Below are 16,358 nucleotides of genomic sequence, written 5' to 3' on the forward strand. Positions count from 1 at the left end.
ACAAGGTATGAAGCTGAAAAGTTTTCTAAACTATCAATAAAAAAAAATCAAATTTTAGGCCAGGCATGGTGCCTCACGCCTGGAATCCAAGCACTTTGGGAGGCTGAGGCAGGTGGATCACCTGAGGTCAGGAGTTCGAGACCAGCCTGGCTAACATGGTAAAACCCCATTTCTACTAAAAATATAAAAAATTAGCCAGGCATGGTGGCATACGCCCATAATCTCAGCTACTTGGGAGGCTGAGGCAGGAGAATCATTTGAACCCAGGAGGCGGAGGCTGCAGTGGGCCAAGATCATGCCATTGCACTCCAGCCTGGGCAACAAGAGTAAAACTCCATCTCAAAATCAATCAATCTATCAATCAATCAAATTTTAATGAATAGTGTTAAAGGAAAGCCTCATTTATCTTTTAATTCTCTCTATAGAAAATGCCATTGCAAAATATTGTCAAAAGCATAAGAAAGAAGTGTCCTAGAGGTATGTTAAAGTAGAAAATTAATTTTTAAAATTTTATAAGATATTTGAGGTTTAAAATTTATAATTTCTTGTGATTTATTTTCTCATTAAATATTCACCTTTGTATATAGTTTTGTTTGTAAAACTTTATATTCTTTTACTTTGTAGGATCTTTCAACGATAGAAGCATTGGGCCCCACACAGCTGGATCTGCTCATGTGGAGGCCTTTCTTTGGGTCCGTAGACATCCATGGCACTGGCCAGGGGCCTGGTTGGAACCAACAGAAGCCAATCAATTTGGTTTCAGCAGGAAGGGATTTATTGATTAGTTTGAGAAATCTCACAGTTCTGTCGGGGAGGATTGAAGGACTCAGCTCTGGGCTGTGCCTCGAACCACAGAATGGCAAAGCTGGCCTTACTGCCCTCAAGGCCACCCTGCCTCCACCATGCTGTTCCTGCATCCTCCACATGGATGCCCACCCTGTGTGGTGCGTCCCGGACCCCATTCTGAGCCACAGACTCACATGGTGTCTGATGGGCAGGTGCCAAATCAGGCTGGGAAAAGATGTCAGTGTGAAAGGCAGGGTTGACAAAGTGGGGGGTTGGGAAAACGTCTAGAACACTTGTAAAAAGATGATAGGCCTCCCTACTGACCAATGTCCACTACACCTACTACATAACAAGGATCCTCTGAGTTCCAAGCACAGACAGGTAAGGAAGGCAGAGTCCCGACTTCCAGAATGCCCAGGAGCATGGGTCAGACAGAGTGGTACCCAGACACCCCAAAGGAGAGCGTAAGGGTTCCAGCCACAGGCGCCATACTCAGACTGTGACTTATGGGAAGGGAGGACCATGGATTGGTGATTTTCCAGCTGATTGATCACGAGAGAGTAGAGTCAAGGGTTGGCCTCTCTGGCACCAGAGCAGACCATCTCCAGCTTAGAGTTACTGTTGCTGCTGTGGCTACTGCCTCGGGAATTCTCAGTTTCTGGTAAATGTTACATTCCATCACATTTGCAAAAAAGAAGAGAGATTTAAAAACCTAAAAATATAATATATACCAAACAGCCTCTTCTTCCCTCACCCACATAGGCACAGAATATAAATTAAGGTGTTCTTTCAGAGTTTCTAAATTTGTATGTATCTACAGGATCAAAAAATGAAAGGATAACTAAAATTTTATTTCAAAAATACAATCTCCTAGCAGTTGAAACATAAAACATTTGTTAGGAACGTTCCTTCTGTAATGCAGGATGGGGAGAGAATGCATAAAATAGTAATGATTATTTCAAATATAAAGACCACGAAGACAGAAATAGGTAGAAAGATGCTGCTGACCCAACTTGATATTGAAACCATTTTCCCTGGTGCTGGGATATCATCTGCTTTGGAAAAGGGCCAAAGAAAGTGGCATTACGTTCCATAATATACATGACAGGCCCTGGATGCTTATCATGTCTGTTGTTTGGAAATTAAAAGTCTAGGTGTTTCTGAGACATTCTGATTTTTCAATCAGTCACACCCATTGGCCCCTAAGGCACCTGCCAGATTCCAGGTTCAGATATTTGGTCTGGAAAATGTGATCACTATAACTTAGAGGTAAGCAAGAAGACAATGGATTTACTGAGTTATTACTCTACACCAGACCCCAAGCATTGCTTTTCATGAGGCATCTCACTCCCTCCTCTTTGCCCCACTGGGAGGTGGCTACAATGACAACCTGGCTTCCCATTTCAGTGAAGAGACAGACACCATCAGAAAGTGCTTCTGCAAGCCCCCTCTACCCCTTCTATGCCGGCTCATCTTCCCACCCATCCTTCCCACCTAAAGCCAGCCCTCTGCCTATGCACCAGACATTGGCTTCTGCCTACTCAAGGATGTGTCCAGCAGGGCTTGCTTCTCTCGCCTGCATTGTTCATTTCCCCTTTGCAGGATCATTCCCATCAGATGCATGGATGAAACCTAGATGCCCCTTCCCCCAGTCCTCTCCGGCTACTGCTTCTCGTTCCCCTTTACAGCATAACTGAGGAACATGAAGGAGCATTATTCTCCCAGTCCTCTCCTCCAGCATAAACTGAGCCCACACTAGTCAGCTTCCCTCACCCTCCTCATCCCATGGAAATAGCTCTAGTCAAAGTCACTACATGCCCCTCCACTGCCACTCCTAATGTCAACTCTCAGTCCTTATCTCACATGACTCATTGGCACCATGGGAACCAGTTGGTCTCTGCCTCCTACTTAAAGCACTTTCCCCAGGAGGCTCCCAGGACCATGTACTCTTCCAGCTCTCTTCCAGACCCACATCCATTCCTCAGGCTCCTTAGTCTTTTCTCCTCAGCTCCCAGGCCTCTTGATGTCATTGCACCCTGGCTCAAGTTGGCCATTTTCTCCCCTCAATTGCAGTACCCCTGAGGCTTTCCATCCACCATGGCAGTGAGCTTGGAAGTGTGTTCTCCCCAGGCAAGCCTTCAGATGAGACTGCAGCCCCCGCCGACACTTTGATTGCAGCCTTGACAGGTGAGAGACCTTGAGTCAGAAGCAGCAAGCAAAGCCATACCCAGATTCTCACCCAGAAAAACTGAGAGATAATAAATGTTTGTGTTTTTAAAGTTTTAGAGTAATTTGTTGCATAGCAATAGATAATACATTCTTCTATGACCTACGCTTTGCCCTGTTTAAGCTTCGAAGCTTTCCCAATTCTAGCCTTCTGGCATCTAGAGGATAAATCTGTGCCTTCCTCAGTAGGTTCCCAGAATATAAGAGAAGTTTGATTTTAGAAAGATGATAATTTCTTCTGGCTGAGTGTGGTGTTTTATGCCTGTAATCCCAGCACTTTGGGAGGCTGAGGCAGAATAACTGCTTGAGACCAGGAGTTCAAGACCAGCGTGGGCAACATAGCAAGATCCTATCTCAAAAAAAAAAAAAACTAAAAAATTAGGCATGGTAGTGTCCACCTGTAGTCCCAGCTATTCAGGAGACAGAGACATGGGGATCATATGAGCCTAACAGTTCAAAGCTGCAGTGAGCTATGATCAAGCCACTGCACTCCAGCATGGGCAATAGAGCAAGACCCAGTCTCTATAATTTTTTTTTTTTAAAAGAAAGGTGATCATTTTATATAAGCAATTTTCTCCATGTGTTATGTTATTAAAGATTTAAACTGGACTCAGAGTTCAGCAGAGGGGAAGAATCAGTGTCCACTAATGTCCTGTTTTCTCTTCCTGCATGATTTGCGGCAACTTTGAAAACTCCCTTTTTCTTTGTGTGCCAAAAAGTCTGGCTTCTCAGCCTCATTCCCAAGCGGCCTTCTCTGGGTTATGGAAGGAATCCACTTGCCTCTGGAGGAGGGCTACGCAAAGATGTCCACCTCCTCACATATCTTGTAGGACCATGGCATGAGGCAGAGCCCTGGCCAAGTACTCCACGAACCAGATCCAGCTGAAGTAATTATTGCATTCCAAGATCCAAAGTGTATCCAGCCATGGGAACAAAAGCTTCATCTTATGTTCCAGTGGGACTGGCTGCTTGCAGTGCTCTGCGGAGAAGGATGTAAAGGCCAAGTTCACACTCTGTGGGAAAGAATGCCATGGTCAGTGATCAGCTAGTGATGTCTGTCATGATCACAGGGATGGGAAGTGGAGGCAGGCTTTCCACTGATGATGCTCCCTCCATTCCTTACAAAATCTTTCCCCCTTGTCCTGAAGGCCTTTTGAATAAGCTCTGCATCCAGTTGTGTCTAGGTACTTTTAAAAACAGAAAGGGCACAATCGGAAATGGCAGCCCAAGGCCCACCCAACCCCAGGTTAGGTCCCATTGATCTTGTCAACTGTTCATTCAAGAAAAGAAAGGCGGCTGAGCGTGGTGGCTCATGCCTGTAATCCCAGCGCTTTGGGAGGCTGAGGTGGGCAGACCACCTGAGATCAGGAGTTTGAGACCAGCCTGGCCAACATAGGGAAACCCCGTCTTTACTAAAAAAAAATAAAATAAAAAAATCAGCTGGGTGTGGTGGTATAGACCTGTAATCCCAGCTACTCAGGAAGCTGAGGCATGAGAATTGCTTGAACCTGTGAGGCAGAGGTTGCAGTGAGCCGAGATGGTGCCACTGTGTTCTAGCCTGGGCAACAGAGTGAGACTCCATCTCAAAAAAAAAAAAAAAAAAAAAAAAAAGGAAAAGAAAGGAAAGGCAGGCCAGACGAGAGGTCCAGGAAGTCAGGCAGGAAGCTGCAGGTTTGTGTTGGGTGGGAACATGGGGGTGATAGTAACCCGGCATAGGGCAGCCACAGGCAGTGAAGACAGAGGGAACAACAACCCCCCATCGATGGATTGTACTGGGAAGAAATGCAGAAAACTCACAGCCTCATCTTCCGCTGAAACACAGGCATCCTCGGAGGTGGTTGATCCAGATCCATTTAACCATCTGTGGATGGAGGTAGCTGACCACGGTGGGTGACAGGCTCACCATAGAGCTCGGGACTGCAAGGTCCACCCTCAGGTGCAAAGAGCACTTTACCTTTTCGGGGGCCTTAGGCTCCCTCTACCTCCCTACTGGAAATAAGTATTAAGCAGTGGTGGGCTGATAAATGCTCAACAGCTGGCCCTCTGGAGGGAAAGATTGTGTGTGTGTGTGTGTGTGTGTGTGTGTGTGTGTGTGTGTGTGTGTGGGGTGTACATACACATATAAATGAAGAGATAATTTATTATAAATGTTACTGATATAAAGAATGTACAACAAAACATAATGATACAATATCCTTTATTATAAGCTGCATATAGTTGGTTGATCCTCACAGAATGCCTTTGTTGAGTTTTTCCAAACTCTTGTATCTACAGCCTATGTCTGTTTGCATATGATGACTAAGTGTGCTTTACACATGAGGGTTGGCTATTTTCATTTCGTTTCATTCTCATGAGGCTGATATTTTCATTTATGTTAACAAGTAAAAGTGAGACAATGAAGGCGAATATCAGAAGTTCACTTATTCATCAATGTCACAAGTGACTTCCTTGCTGAATCAATCAGGCCACAGTTTTTAAGCACTGGAAGAATAAATCCTCAATTTTTTTGCTTGTCACAATATAGGGGTGCATCAGTGTAGTAGGTTAAATAATGGCCCTCAAATAATATACGCAGATCTGAATCTATGAAGCCTGCAAATGTATCTTATGTGGCAAAAGGGACTTTGCAGATGTGATTGAGTTGAGGATCTTGAGAAGGAGACATTATCCTGGATTACATGGGTGGGTCCCAAATGCAATCACAAATGTCCTGATAAGAGAGGATAGAGGGAAATCTGACATAGAAGAGAAGGCCATGAGAAGACAGCGTGGAGAGAATTTTGAAGACGCTAAGCCACTGCCTTTGAAGGCGGAGGAAGGGGCCACGAGCCAAGGAATGCAGCTCTAGAAGCTGGAAAAGGCAAGGAAACAGACCCCCCTGGAGCCTCTGGAGGGAGCGGCCCTCATGGCACCCTGATTCCATCCTGCTGAAACTGATTTGGGACTTCTGACCTCCAAAACTGTAAGAGAACAAATGTGCCTTGTTGTAAGCACCAGGTTTTTGGTAATTTGTTACAGCAGCCACAGGAAACTCACACAGGCAGTTTTTAATCTATTGCATCTCAGCTCTGAATGCACCTTTCAATATGTGCTTTAGGACAAAGATTGGAACCTTTTAACCATTTTGAATTTAAAGTGAACAGGATGTGAAGCTTTCTCAGTAGACGGTGCTGGAAGGACTTTCCTGTAATTTCCAGGAAGGTCAGCCAAGCGGAGACTATCCCGTGGAGTCGGACGGAGCCTCAGAGCCAGAACACAATGACTCTGTGGCCATGCCTGGCGGTGACTGTCTACACAGCAGCTGGCCTCCGACCTCACTACGCAGCCTGCCACTTCCTCTGCAACCTCTCCACCCGCCAAGCAACCTCAGCACCCAGAAGGCCTTCTGCCCTGGGGGCACTCAGTTTCCCACTGCAGTTCACGCCTTTGGTTACTAATCACCTGTTCCCTGCCTGCCCTCCAGAGGGTGCCTATTGTGTGTCCACCAACTCCAAACCAGCTGTAGCTGTGTGCTCTGGGCTAAACTTCATTGCTATCCAGTGGCTGAACCACACCCTCTCCAGCTATGTCTGAACCCCAAACAACTTCATTTTTACTTTGGGAGCTCCCTCAGCCCTAGGATACTGCATAGAGCTTCTTTTTATCTTACTCTTTTTTTTTGAGACAGAGTCTTGCTCTGTTGCCCAGGCTGGAGTGCAGGGGTATGATCTCGGCTCACTGCAACCTCTGCCTCCTGGGTTCAAGCGATTCTCCTGCCTCACCCTCCCGAGTAGCTGGGATTACAGGCACCTGCCACCAGGCCTGGCTAATTTTTGTATTTTTAGTACAGATGGGGTTTCACTGTGTTGGTCAGCCTGGTCTCGAACTCCTGACCTCATGATTCGCCCACCTCGGCCTCCCAAAGTGCTAGGATTACAGGCATAAGCCACCGCGCCCGGCCTATCTTACTGTTTTACAACTGTTAATAATTTTAACTTAAATTTCCCCTGTTTAACCTGCTGTGTGATTTCTGTCTCCCGATTAGAGCCAGACTGCTACAAATGGCCCCAGACATGACCCACTTATAAGTTGAATCTGTACTATTAACAATTTTTTATTACTTTCTTAAGCCTAGAAAATCAACAAAACAATAACACAAGCTCTGATTTGCAGTGTTTGCCAACTTCCATGGTGTAAATACTCCTATCATGGCCAATCCCAAGCTTTCAATGTGACGTCACAGATTGTGGGCTTGGGAAGAGATGCCCAGTAGCTGTCACTATATACTCTTCCCACGGCATTGATATAATAGATGCAAGTAACCCTCAAAGCATAGAAAATAGCAAAAGTAGTAAAACTCATTGGGAAGGGGTGTTTGTTAACATATTTGATTATAAGTTCATATGATTAATTGTGAATAATGCCTATATTTACAACTGGCTCACAAAATCTGAGCACATTTAACGCTTGGTTCTATTGAATGTTACAAGCCAGCTCCAGCACAGCACTGGGATTAAGGGCCCCCAGCAACAAACCAGGGGGAGCTCCGCATTCTTTGGGCAATTGCTGGCCCCCTCTGGCATCAAGACAGGTCTCCGGTTCAGCCTGTGGCATTGAGATGGGGCGGTGGAGGGGGGACAGAGGAGAGGGTGCAGGCAAGAGTTTCTCTGTTGCAGGATTCACTCAGGACCTCCCATTGCTCCTGTTTTCTGCCCTGACGTTGATGCCCCTTCATGTCCTGGCCCGAGGATGGAGGCAGCAGCCTTCCCCTGGACCCTTTCCGGCACGGTCAGACCTGCCGTTTGCCATGCATCTGAGAGTCCTTGAGGTCATGGCAGCCGCTCTTTTGCCCCCACTTGAGGTCATTGAAGGAGAGTGAGGGAATGGCTGTAGGTATGGTGGTCAGCGAGTCAGGAGTCTAGTCCCGACCTTACTCCTGGCTGGTGGAAAGACTGGGGGCCAGTCGGTCACGCTCCCAGGCCTGAGGCCCCACCTGTGCGGTGAGGGTGGGCCTGATGCCACTCTGAGGACTGATGACCCTGAGGCTTCTTCCAGCTCCAGGATGAAGTCCTGCCTCACGTCCACCTTAATGGCAGGCACAGTGATGCCACCTCCCAGGATCTGGCAGCTGCAGGGGCATCAGCAGGTGCTGCGGTCCTGCTGGGATAGCCTATCCCTGGGAACTGGCCCCAGACGCTGATCTCAGGACCTGCCATCAGATAGCTCAGCCTTCGCCAAGAGAAAACAAAATGCAGGCAGGTCATCTGATCTTCCTTTTCCACTTTCCCAGGGACCAACTAGCCTTTATAATAAAACCCAGAGGAGACAGTCCCTTCCCAGAGATAAAACCCTTCCCAAGCCGTCCCTGCTACTAGGGCAACGCTGGGCGCTGCGCGGCTGGCAGGGAGCCCCAAGAGCTCTCTGCCAAGGGGGCTGGGCTGGTGGGGCCGAGGTCCCAGAGGCTGCCTGCCCAGAGCCTGTGCTAATGAGGGAAGAGGGCTACACTCCGCTTTGGAGCACCTCTCAACAGAGGGGACACCTTGGGGTCGGGGGTCAGCATGACGGATGTCTTCAAGGTTCAGTGTGCAGACAGGACCAACCTCTCCCACAAGCAAGATGCTAAGGGAAGACCCCAGAAACAGCAAGTGCAGGACATGTGAGTATGGGGGTGATGCAGAGAGCCTCACAGTACCCAAGGACAGGGTCGGAAAGACCTGAGGTGAGTGGACCGCCCTGGCCTGGGAGGCAGCCTGTAGACTGTGGGGCCAGTGACGGTCCCCTCCTCCCAGGCGCAGTCCTCCCCTTCCTGCGTCACCCTCTGCACACCCCTCTCCATTCCTGCTGTCATGCTCGGGCCAACGTCCCAGGTCTAACTAGTGAAGCCTTTGCAAGCTCCACGCTGCACTCTTAGAGAGATCCTACTCAAAAGCAGGGCTCAGAGTGGACTTTCTTAGAAGAGACTCTCTTTTCTCTGACTGCCCTTCACCAGTGCCCTACCCAAGGCTGCCCCCGCCCTGCCCCCACTTGCTCATTTTATCACCTGCCCCTCCTCCCCACTGTTCCTCCAGGCCTCAACCAAAGGCCCTCCTTCGGGTCATCCTTTCTTCCTTAAAACAGCGTCTGATGTCTGACCTAGTTCAAGAAAGCCGTGGCTCAGTGTCCGAGGAGCCCCGTCTGCAGTCTGCCCTGGCCACGCCTAGCTGCATCTCCCTGTGCTTAAACAAAGTGTCGCTAAGTCGGGAATTCATGGGCCTGTTAGCAGCGGCTTGGCTTCCACATGTCCCCTTTCATGGTCTCACTAGTGAAAGGTAGATGAAAGAGCTGGGCGTGGTGGCTCACGCCTGTAATCCCAGCGCTTTGGGAGGCCGAGGTGGGTGGATCACAAAGTCAGGAGATCGAGACCATCCTGGCCAACATGGTGAAACCCTGTCTCTACTAAAATACAAAAGATTAGCCGGGCATGGTGGTGAGCACCTGTACTCGGGAGGCTGAGGCAGGGGAATTGCTTGAACCCGGGAGGCGGAGGTTGCAGTGAGCAGAGATTGCACTACTGCACTCCAGCCTGGCCAAAGAGCAAGACTCCATCTCAAAAAAAAAAAAAAAGGTAGATGAGAGAAGAATAAAGCATAAAGCTAAGGTCTAACTTGCTAGGTTATTCAGGAGGGAGAGAGGACAGAAATTACAAATAAATATTGATATGTATACATACACCCGTACTGTAGATAGGTGTATGTGTATATATGTGCAAATGACTGTATATTATGCATACACATGTGTGTATGTGTGTGTGCACATGGTATAAATGTGTGTATATGTACATATGTATTTATACACACATGTATCAACTCCCATAAATGCACAAGGCTCAGCCTGACCTGTCATTTAACCAAACACCAGACAGTGCCTTCCCAGAACATTCTACCCTCAAGGCAGAGTGCCTCCGTGACACGCAAGGCAGGGGGCCAGCTGCAGGCGCCAGGCCAACAGGATGAATGTCTCAGGTTTTCACGCCCCTGGTGGCAGGGCAGGCCACTGTGGGCCTGCTCTCTTCTCATCTTGCTGTCACTTTAGTGTCCTTGAGGTGCTGAGGACTCTCAGTTTGTATGTCCAGCCCAACAGCTCCTGGGCTCTAGACCCAGAGACTCAGCACTGCTCGATACGGGTCCCGGGCCCACAAGTCCCCTCTACCATCCTCCTCCCACTGTGCATCCAGAAGCCTGGGTGCTCCCGGACACCCCTGCTCCCCACATGCCCATCTCCCACCGTCTGCTTGGTTTTCACTCCTAAACAGTCCTTGGGTGCAGCCACTTGTCGGCATCACCACCACCCTGGGTCATACCCACTCTCGCTCTCCAGTGAGTGCAGCCAGGCTGCTGTTTGCAGGACTTAACTCTCATCCCACCAGCTGTGGCTGCCCAGCTCCTAAAGCAACACTAGGGCCCTGGGTGGGGCCTGCAAAGGCTGCGAACCCAACGCAGCTCCCCCTCTCCTAGCCCGGAGCTGGTTCCTCCTCTGTCCTCCAATGCCCCAGCCTCCTCTCTGCGTGACTGCTATATTACCACCTGACCCCTGCTCCCCGGGGCAGGGACTTTCTTAGAAGAGACTCTCCAGACAGCCAAGCACAATTGGAAGCAGCACCTGCTCAGATCTTCCAAACTGAGGCTTGGTGAGGCCTCCATTGGGAGCACTTCATTGACAAACGTTTGAAATTCTGAAGATGACCTCCGTGGGTGCTGGGGAGGGGACCTGGGGCTTGGCTGAGGCCCTGGCCCTGGTGAGTGAGGCCCTCCGGCTGGGCACCTCTGGATATTGGCTGGGAGGGCACCCAGGGCCGGTTGAGGCCGCAGCTTGCTTTTCGGCCTCTCCTTGCTGCTCCCTCCCCACATGGCCTTGGGCAGGTGACTGCTAATGTCGGTGACCAGGCCAGGCTGCCGCCACCCCCACCCCATTTCCCAAGCCTGGCTGCTGGTGGCAGGGTCTGGTAGAAGTGCTGTGGCCTCCACGCAGGCATCCCTCTCCATGGGATCTCCATGGAAGAGCGTGTGCTGGTGCCTGGGTGTCGGGACCCCATAAAAACCACGGGTGACCCCTGTGCAGGGGCTGGGGCTGCTGGGACTGTGGATGGTCCCCCTAAGCCCCATGAGGCACATTTCCCAGGCATGGCAGCATGGCGGTACCTCTCTGGGGCTGTCCCTTGTGCATGCACTCTTACTCCAGCAGTCTCTGGTCCCTCTACCTTTCTCTAGTGGCCCTCGGGCTGAGAAACCATGAGAGTGTGTCCAAAGCAGGCAGCGGCCTTAAAGAAATGCCAGCCCACCTCCTCCCCACCTAGTGTCCAAAAGAGCTGCATGTTGGAAGCAGGGGTCTGTGCAGCCCTCCCCTCTCCCCTGGTACACCCTACTTGGGGAGCAGATTTGCCTGGGCAGGTCTGCACGGGGTCTGCTCCCTGGCCCAGCAGTCACTGGTGAGACACCCAGCCCTGGCATCCTCTGTTCCTAATTCCCATGAAGGTGCCTTTTGTGGCTGCACCTACTTGCATAAGGACTGAGGCATCGGCCAGGAAAAGACGTCAGGCTTGGCCAGCTCCATCTAGCAAGACACTCCAGGTCACCGGGGAAAGGGCTTTTCACTAAAGCCTCCAGGGAGACTTTGGAACATGAGCAGCACAGCTTGGAGACGAGCCAGCAGAGCACGTGACAGCGAGGAGGCAGCCGTGCACGTCGTCACCCAAGCCCCAGGCCACAGCATCCACGGGAGAGACTTTCCTGCAGCACTGCGTGTTGGGGGTAGGGAAGAGAACAAACTTAATCCTGGGCTGTTACGGGAAGCCCTGACGAGCCCCAGGAATATCAGGGACTGCAGGAAGGGTTCCAGTGTCACTGGGGAACCCGGATTCCCACAAATGCCTTGCTTCCCACAACCCGGCCTCCTGGTCCCACATGCCTCACCTGTTGTTCCAGCCTCTGCACCTGCTCACATCTCTGGGGAGTCACCCGATGGGGCTCCCCAGTCCCCGCAGCAGCATTTTCCTCTGACTCTCAGGGCCCTGCTCTGCCTTCTGTGCTCAGCAGTTGTTTCGGATTGGGAGTCAGGAGGCCATTCCCACACTTGAAACAAGGCTGCAAGAGGAGGCTGAGCAGAAACCGCACACCCCGAGGGCAAGGCGACATGCTCATTGCCCTTGCGCCCTTCCTCCTTCCCCAGGAGCAGGACTTCTGGCCGCTCTGAGTGCACGGGTGACGGCTGCCGTTTATCAGCCTTCAAATTTGTGCCCGAATCACCTGCTTCCAACTCCTCAAATACAGACTGGCTTAGCTCAGCCTGATTAAGACCAAATTAGGAAGGGCAGCTGTGTTCCACCAGAGCCCAGGGAGCCAGGCAGAGGGCAGGAGGATCAGGCCACCAAAGGTCACCTACACACAAGCCCGTACCGGTGATGTCATCGTGGATGGAGGAGATGGGCTGGCATTTTTTAAGGCTGGCCCCCTGCCTGGGACACACTCTACATGTTTCTAAGCCTATGGGCCACTGGGGAGAGCTGGAAGGAGCCAGGCACAGCCACAGGGAGGTGCCACCATGCTTGGGAAACACCTCGTGGGTCTGGGCTGCAAATGACCATCCACAGTCCCAGCCCTGGCAAAGGGGTAGCTCATGGTCCTTATGGGGTCCCGACACCCAGGCACCAGGACACGCTCTTCCACGGATGCAGGTTAGATAAGAAACCACCTTCAGGACTCTCCTACACATCTCTTCACACCTGTGCACAAAGGAATCAGCAAAAGATCCCCTCCCAGCCTGCTGTGACCGCAAAATTCCATACCCAAGACCAGGGCTGCTTAAATAATTTGAGCTCTGCAATGGAAACCTACAAAGCCACTAAAAGCAGCAGAGAACGCTGGTGAGCAGCTGTGAGTGGCAGCTGAGATTCATTACAGTTCCACAGTCGGACTCGGGAAAATGCTTCCGTGTGTGTAGCAGGCTGTGATGCGGTGTGTGGTCCCAGCTGAGGCCCCCACACTGACAGCAGTAAGAGCCGAGTATCTCACATCCTAAAGATGCCGGTCCGTGCCCGAGAGCAGATAGTCTATGAGACCTTAACCGGGGCTGTCCCAGATGCCACTCTGAGCCCTTCTGGAAGGGTGAGTTTGATCAGGGAGATGGCGAGGGAGGAGTCCTTGTCCAGGAGCTTTGGGGACAGTTTGACAGGAGCTTTTGGGATGTCAACCTTGCTCCTACCATGGGGAATGCAGAAGGGGGCTCCCCCCCCCACCTCTCCTCACATCTGCTCCACCTCAGCCCAGATCAGAGGCAGGGAGGAGAGCCTTGAGGAGCCCCGGAGTTGGGTGCACTGACTGGACCCCGCCCTGAGTAGAAGAGGGAGGCTGGCCTGGAGGGGCTGCAGGAGAACAGCAGAGTTGCTCAGCAGGACAAAGGAGACACTGCGGAAGGGGTCTGAGTTCAGGTCATCTTGACTGGTTTCCTCAGCACGGCCCATCATGAGGCAAAACCCTAAACGCTGACTCAAAGTCTGGGAACGGAATGGGCTGTTTTGTCCTTGGCTAGAGCCCTGCCAGCTGTCCCGTTCCCTCTAAGTGCTGCATGCACTGTGGACGTGGCATTCCCTCTAAGTACTGCATGCACTGTGGATGTGGCCTGCCCTCTAAGTGCCGCATGCACTGTGGACGTGGCATTCCCTCTAAGTGCTGCATGCACTGTGGACATAGTGTTCCCTCTGCCTGGTCCTCCTATGTGAAATCCCCTTCCCAGCCAGCCAGCGCCCCCACCTGCACTCCTGGCCCCACCCTTGAGGTCCTTTCTGGGGTGGCTGAGCTCTTCTGCAAGACCTGTGTCCGGGCTTCCCTCCACCACAGCTCAGACCCTCCCAGGGGCCCATGTCCATGTCGGTAGAATGCATGAGGGACGCCCAAGCCCATTCGGTCCCAGATGCCTCCTTCGAGGCAGGGCCGTGTGTGTGTCATCAGCATCACACACTCACACACACTCACCCGCAGGCAAAGCCCCTCCCTGAGCCCAGGAAGGCTCCAAAAGGGGCGTGGTCACAGCCTCCTGCGCCTTCAGGGGCGGGAACCCAGAGGAAGAGCAGCCCACGTGCGGACTCCGCAGGAATGAATGGACACAGTTGGGAGGAGAGGGGAGTTTCTTGGAAGTAAATTCCCCCTGACATTGAGATAACTGGTTCAGGGTCCCATCCACAGAGTACGTGCCTGTTAGCAGGGCAGGAGGCCAGAGGGCGGGGCCTCGGGAAAGCTGCCCAAGCTCAGCAGGGACTCCACTGCTCACAGAGCAAGCAGCCCGACTTGTTCAGCTTGGAATCTGGGCTGGGACCGCTGGGGTCAGCAAAGAAGATCTAGGAGACATCCCATAAAATATCAGACTATCAGGATCCAATATAATACGTGTGATATTGAGCTCATTGCACAGAAGCTACAAGTAAACATTGGGTTTAGGCCACTCAGGGAAAAATGACGGAGCCTCATTTCCATAAGGAGCTGGCCTCATTTGAAAGCTTTCCACCCCACCTCTCGCCTCACCTCCCCCGCGCTCCTTTCTTGCTTCATAAACTTTCACCACTGCCATCGACCAAAAAGCAAACAGAGACTTGGAAACCCCGTGTACAACACGTACACTGCGCTCTCGTTGATCACTATTGGGTAAACTAAAATGTAGCTTACCACCCAGGGGAGGCGTGATGTGTGGGTGTGTGTGTGCACGTGTGAGTGTGACTGCGGGTGAGTGTGTGAGTGTGTGATGCTGATCACACAGGATAAGGCATAGTCCTTTATCCTGGGTCTGAGAAGATGCATGGTTTGTAGAAACAGACAAATCTGTGAACTGCAGGATGAATGGCCCTGGCTGCTGTGAGCCCATCACCCTCTGATCACACATCATAAAGAGACCTTGAGGAAGGAGTGAGTTTACTGACTGACATCTCATTAATTCGGCCCCGGCAGGAAACAATGAAATCTAACTTTTCTAGACACCATGAGATACCCTTAGAATCACGCAAGCTTACAAATGAGCATTTTGTGGGAAACATTTTTATCCTTAACTAAAACATTCAAAGCACAGCTTAATTTTCCTTCAGACTCTGGGTCCTCGCTGTGGAAGATGGTCATTCCTTGGAGCTGCAATCAGGATGACTCCAGCAGGGTGCCCACTTGGCCCCAGAGAAAATGGCTCTAGATCACTGCATCTTGCAGCCTTGCATCTACTCGCAATGGTCAGTCGTAACCATGTGAATGAAGCGATTCACAGAGGCACACGGGGATCAATTATAGCAAAATGGCCGAGGTGAACATCACCCTAATCCATTAAACTGCTCCAGCTCAGCTGACACATAATCGATAGCGTCGTAATCCATCTAGTTAAAAGTTTGCAGAAGCAAGGAGAGAGGGCTGGAGCGAGATCCACGGAAGCAGGGGTTTGCTTCCGTCTCTTAACCCTGAGCCGCCACAGGTCTACGTCGTGGGGCCAATGTTATTATATCTGCAAACTCTGGCCGAACTTACACACTACAGCCCTCCTGGAGTTACTGGCTGGCTCGGACCCCATCATATTCCACGTGGGATTTGAGGTGGCAGCCACTTGTTGCTGTGTGCCTGGAGTCCTTACCCGCCAGGCAGCCCTCTGAGCTCCACTGGCTGCAGCGGGCAACCAGATTTTAAACAGACGGCTGCATGTCAGGGGTGTTTGCAGCTGGCGGGCCACGCTTATCTGCGGAAATGCTGGCATTTGCACTGTTCTGTTTCTGCGGTTGCCTCCAGGACCTGGAGAGCTGATTCAGTTCTCCCTGGCTGCTGATACTCCTTTAGGGATCCAGACTAAACCAAGAGCCAGGAGCTGCAAAGCTGAGGCCCAAGCCCTGGCTCTTGGTGACTGTCACCCTGGAGGGCCTGGTAAGCTGTGCAAATAAAGACAGGTCGTTGCTGTTAATAACAGTAAAAGTGCAAAAGGTGGCAAACTTTTTGTATTTGTAAATTAGAGTGGATTATAAATATCATATGAGGAGATCTCGAATTGTGTTTTTACACAGATTGTGTCATTTGCAATCCCATGAGGTAGCTACTGATAATCCCTCCATTTTACAGATGAAGAAACTGAGGCCTTGGTTGGCTACAGACCACACTGATGTATCTGAGAGCTCTGGGGCCTTGGCTCCCCACCGCTTTGCTGCCTGTCTCCTTGTGAGCCGCCTCTCCCCACCTCCTTCCACCCCCGACCCGTGTCTGTTACTCGCTTGCTCGCCTCCTGGTGCAGGAGAGAGAGGGCTGGAGTTACGCCGCCCCGCCAGCCAGCACCGTAACCTGCAACTTCTCTCCTCAGGGTTACTGATCAGAAAAGATTCT

The 16,358-nt window shown here is 51.1% G+C and overlaps 1 long non-coding RNA gene across 1 annotated transcript, besides 4 other annotated features; it reads right to left on the bottom strand.

Annotated features, from left to right (window-relative positions):
- Positions 1-775: 775 nt before the first annotated feature.
- LINC02348 (long intergenic non-protein coding RNA 2348) lies at positions 776-12,329 on the bottom strand. The gene is made up of 3 exons (NR_147041.1): positions 11,940-12,329; positions 11,525-11,764; positions 776-4,025 (listed from the first exon to the last, which is right to left on the bottom strand). It is a non-coding gene; the product is annotated as a long intergenic non-protein coding RNA 2348 (long non-coding RNA).
- Positions 10,320-10,820: an enhancer, noted in NCBI's record as "H3K4me1 hESC enhancer chr15:102152533-102153033 (GRCh37/hg19 assembly coordinates)". NCBI's record gives its function as "activates a minimal SCP1, AML or CMV promoter by ChIP-STARR-seq in primed H9 embryonic stem cells {active_cell/tissue: H9 hESC(primed)}" and the evidence as "EXISTENCE:reporter gene assay evidence [ECO:0000049][PMID:30033119]".
- Positions 11,639-12,157: an enhancer, noted in NCBI's record as "H3K4me1 hESC enhancer chr15:102153852-102154370 (GRCh37/hg19 assembly coordinates)". NCBI's record gives its function as "activates a minimal SCP1, AML or CMV promoter by ChIP-STARR-seq in naive and primed H9 embryonic stem cells {active_cell/tissue: H9 hESC(naive and primed)}" and the evidence as "EXISTENCE:reporter gene assay evidence [ECO:0000049][PMID:30033119]".
- Positions 12,158-12,674: an enhancer, noted in NCBI's record as "H3K4me1 hESC enhancer chr15:102154371-102154887 (GRCh37/hg19 assembly coordinates)". NCBI's record gives its function as "activates a minimal SCP1, AML or CMV promoter by ChIP-STARR-seq in naive and primed H9 embryonic stem cells {active_cell/tissue: H9 hESC(naive and primed)}" and the evidence as "EXISTENCE:reporter gene assay evidence [ECO:0000049][PMID:30033119]".
- Positions 15,115-15,727: an enhancer, noted in NCBI's record as "H3K4me1 hESC enhancer chr15:102157328-102157940 (GRCh37/hg19 assembly coordinates)". NCBI's record gives its function as "activates a minimal SCP1, AML or CMV promoter by ChIP-STARR-seq in naive H9 embryonic stem cells {active_cell/tissue: H9 hESC(naive)}" and the evidence as "EXISTENCE:reporter gene assay evidence [ECO:0000049][PMID:30033119]".

The sequence above is a fragment of the Homo sapiens genome, chromosome 15 (assembly GCF_000001405.40).
Source record: "Homo sapiens chromosome 15, GRCh38.p14 Primary Assembly".
Lineage (NCBI taxonomy): Eukaryota > Metazoa > Chordata > Mammalia > Primates > Hominidae > Homo > Homo sapiens.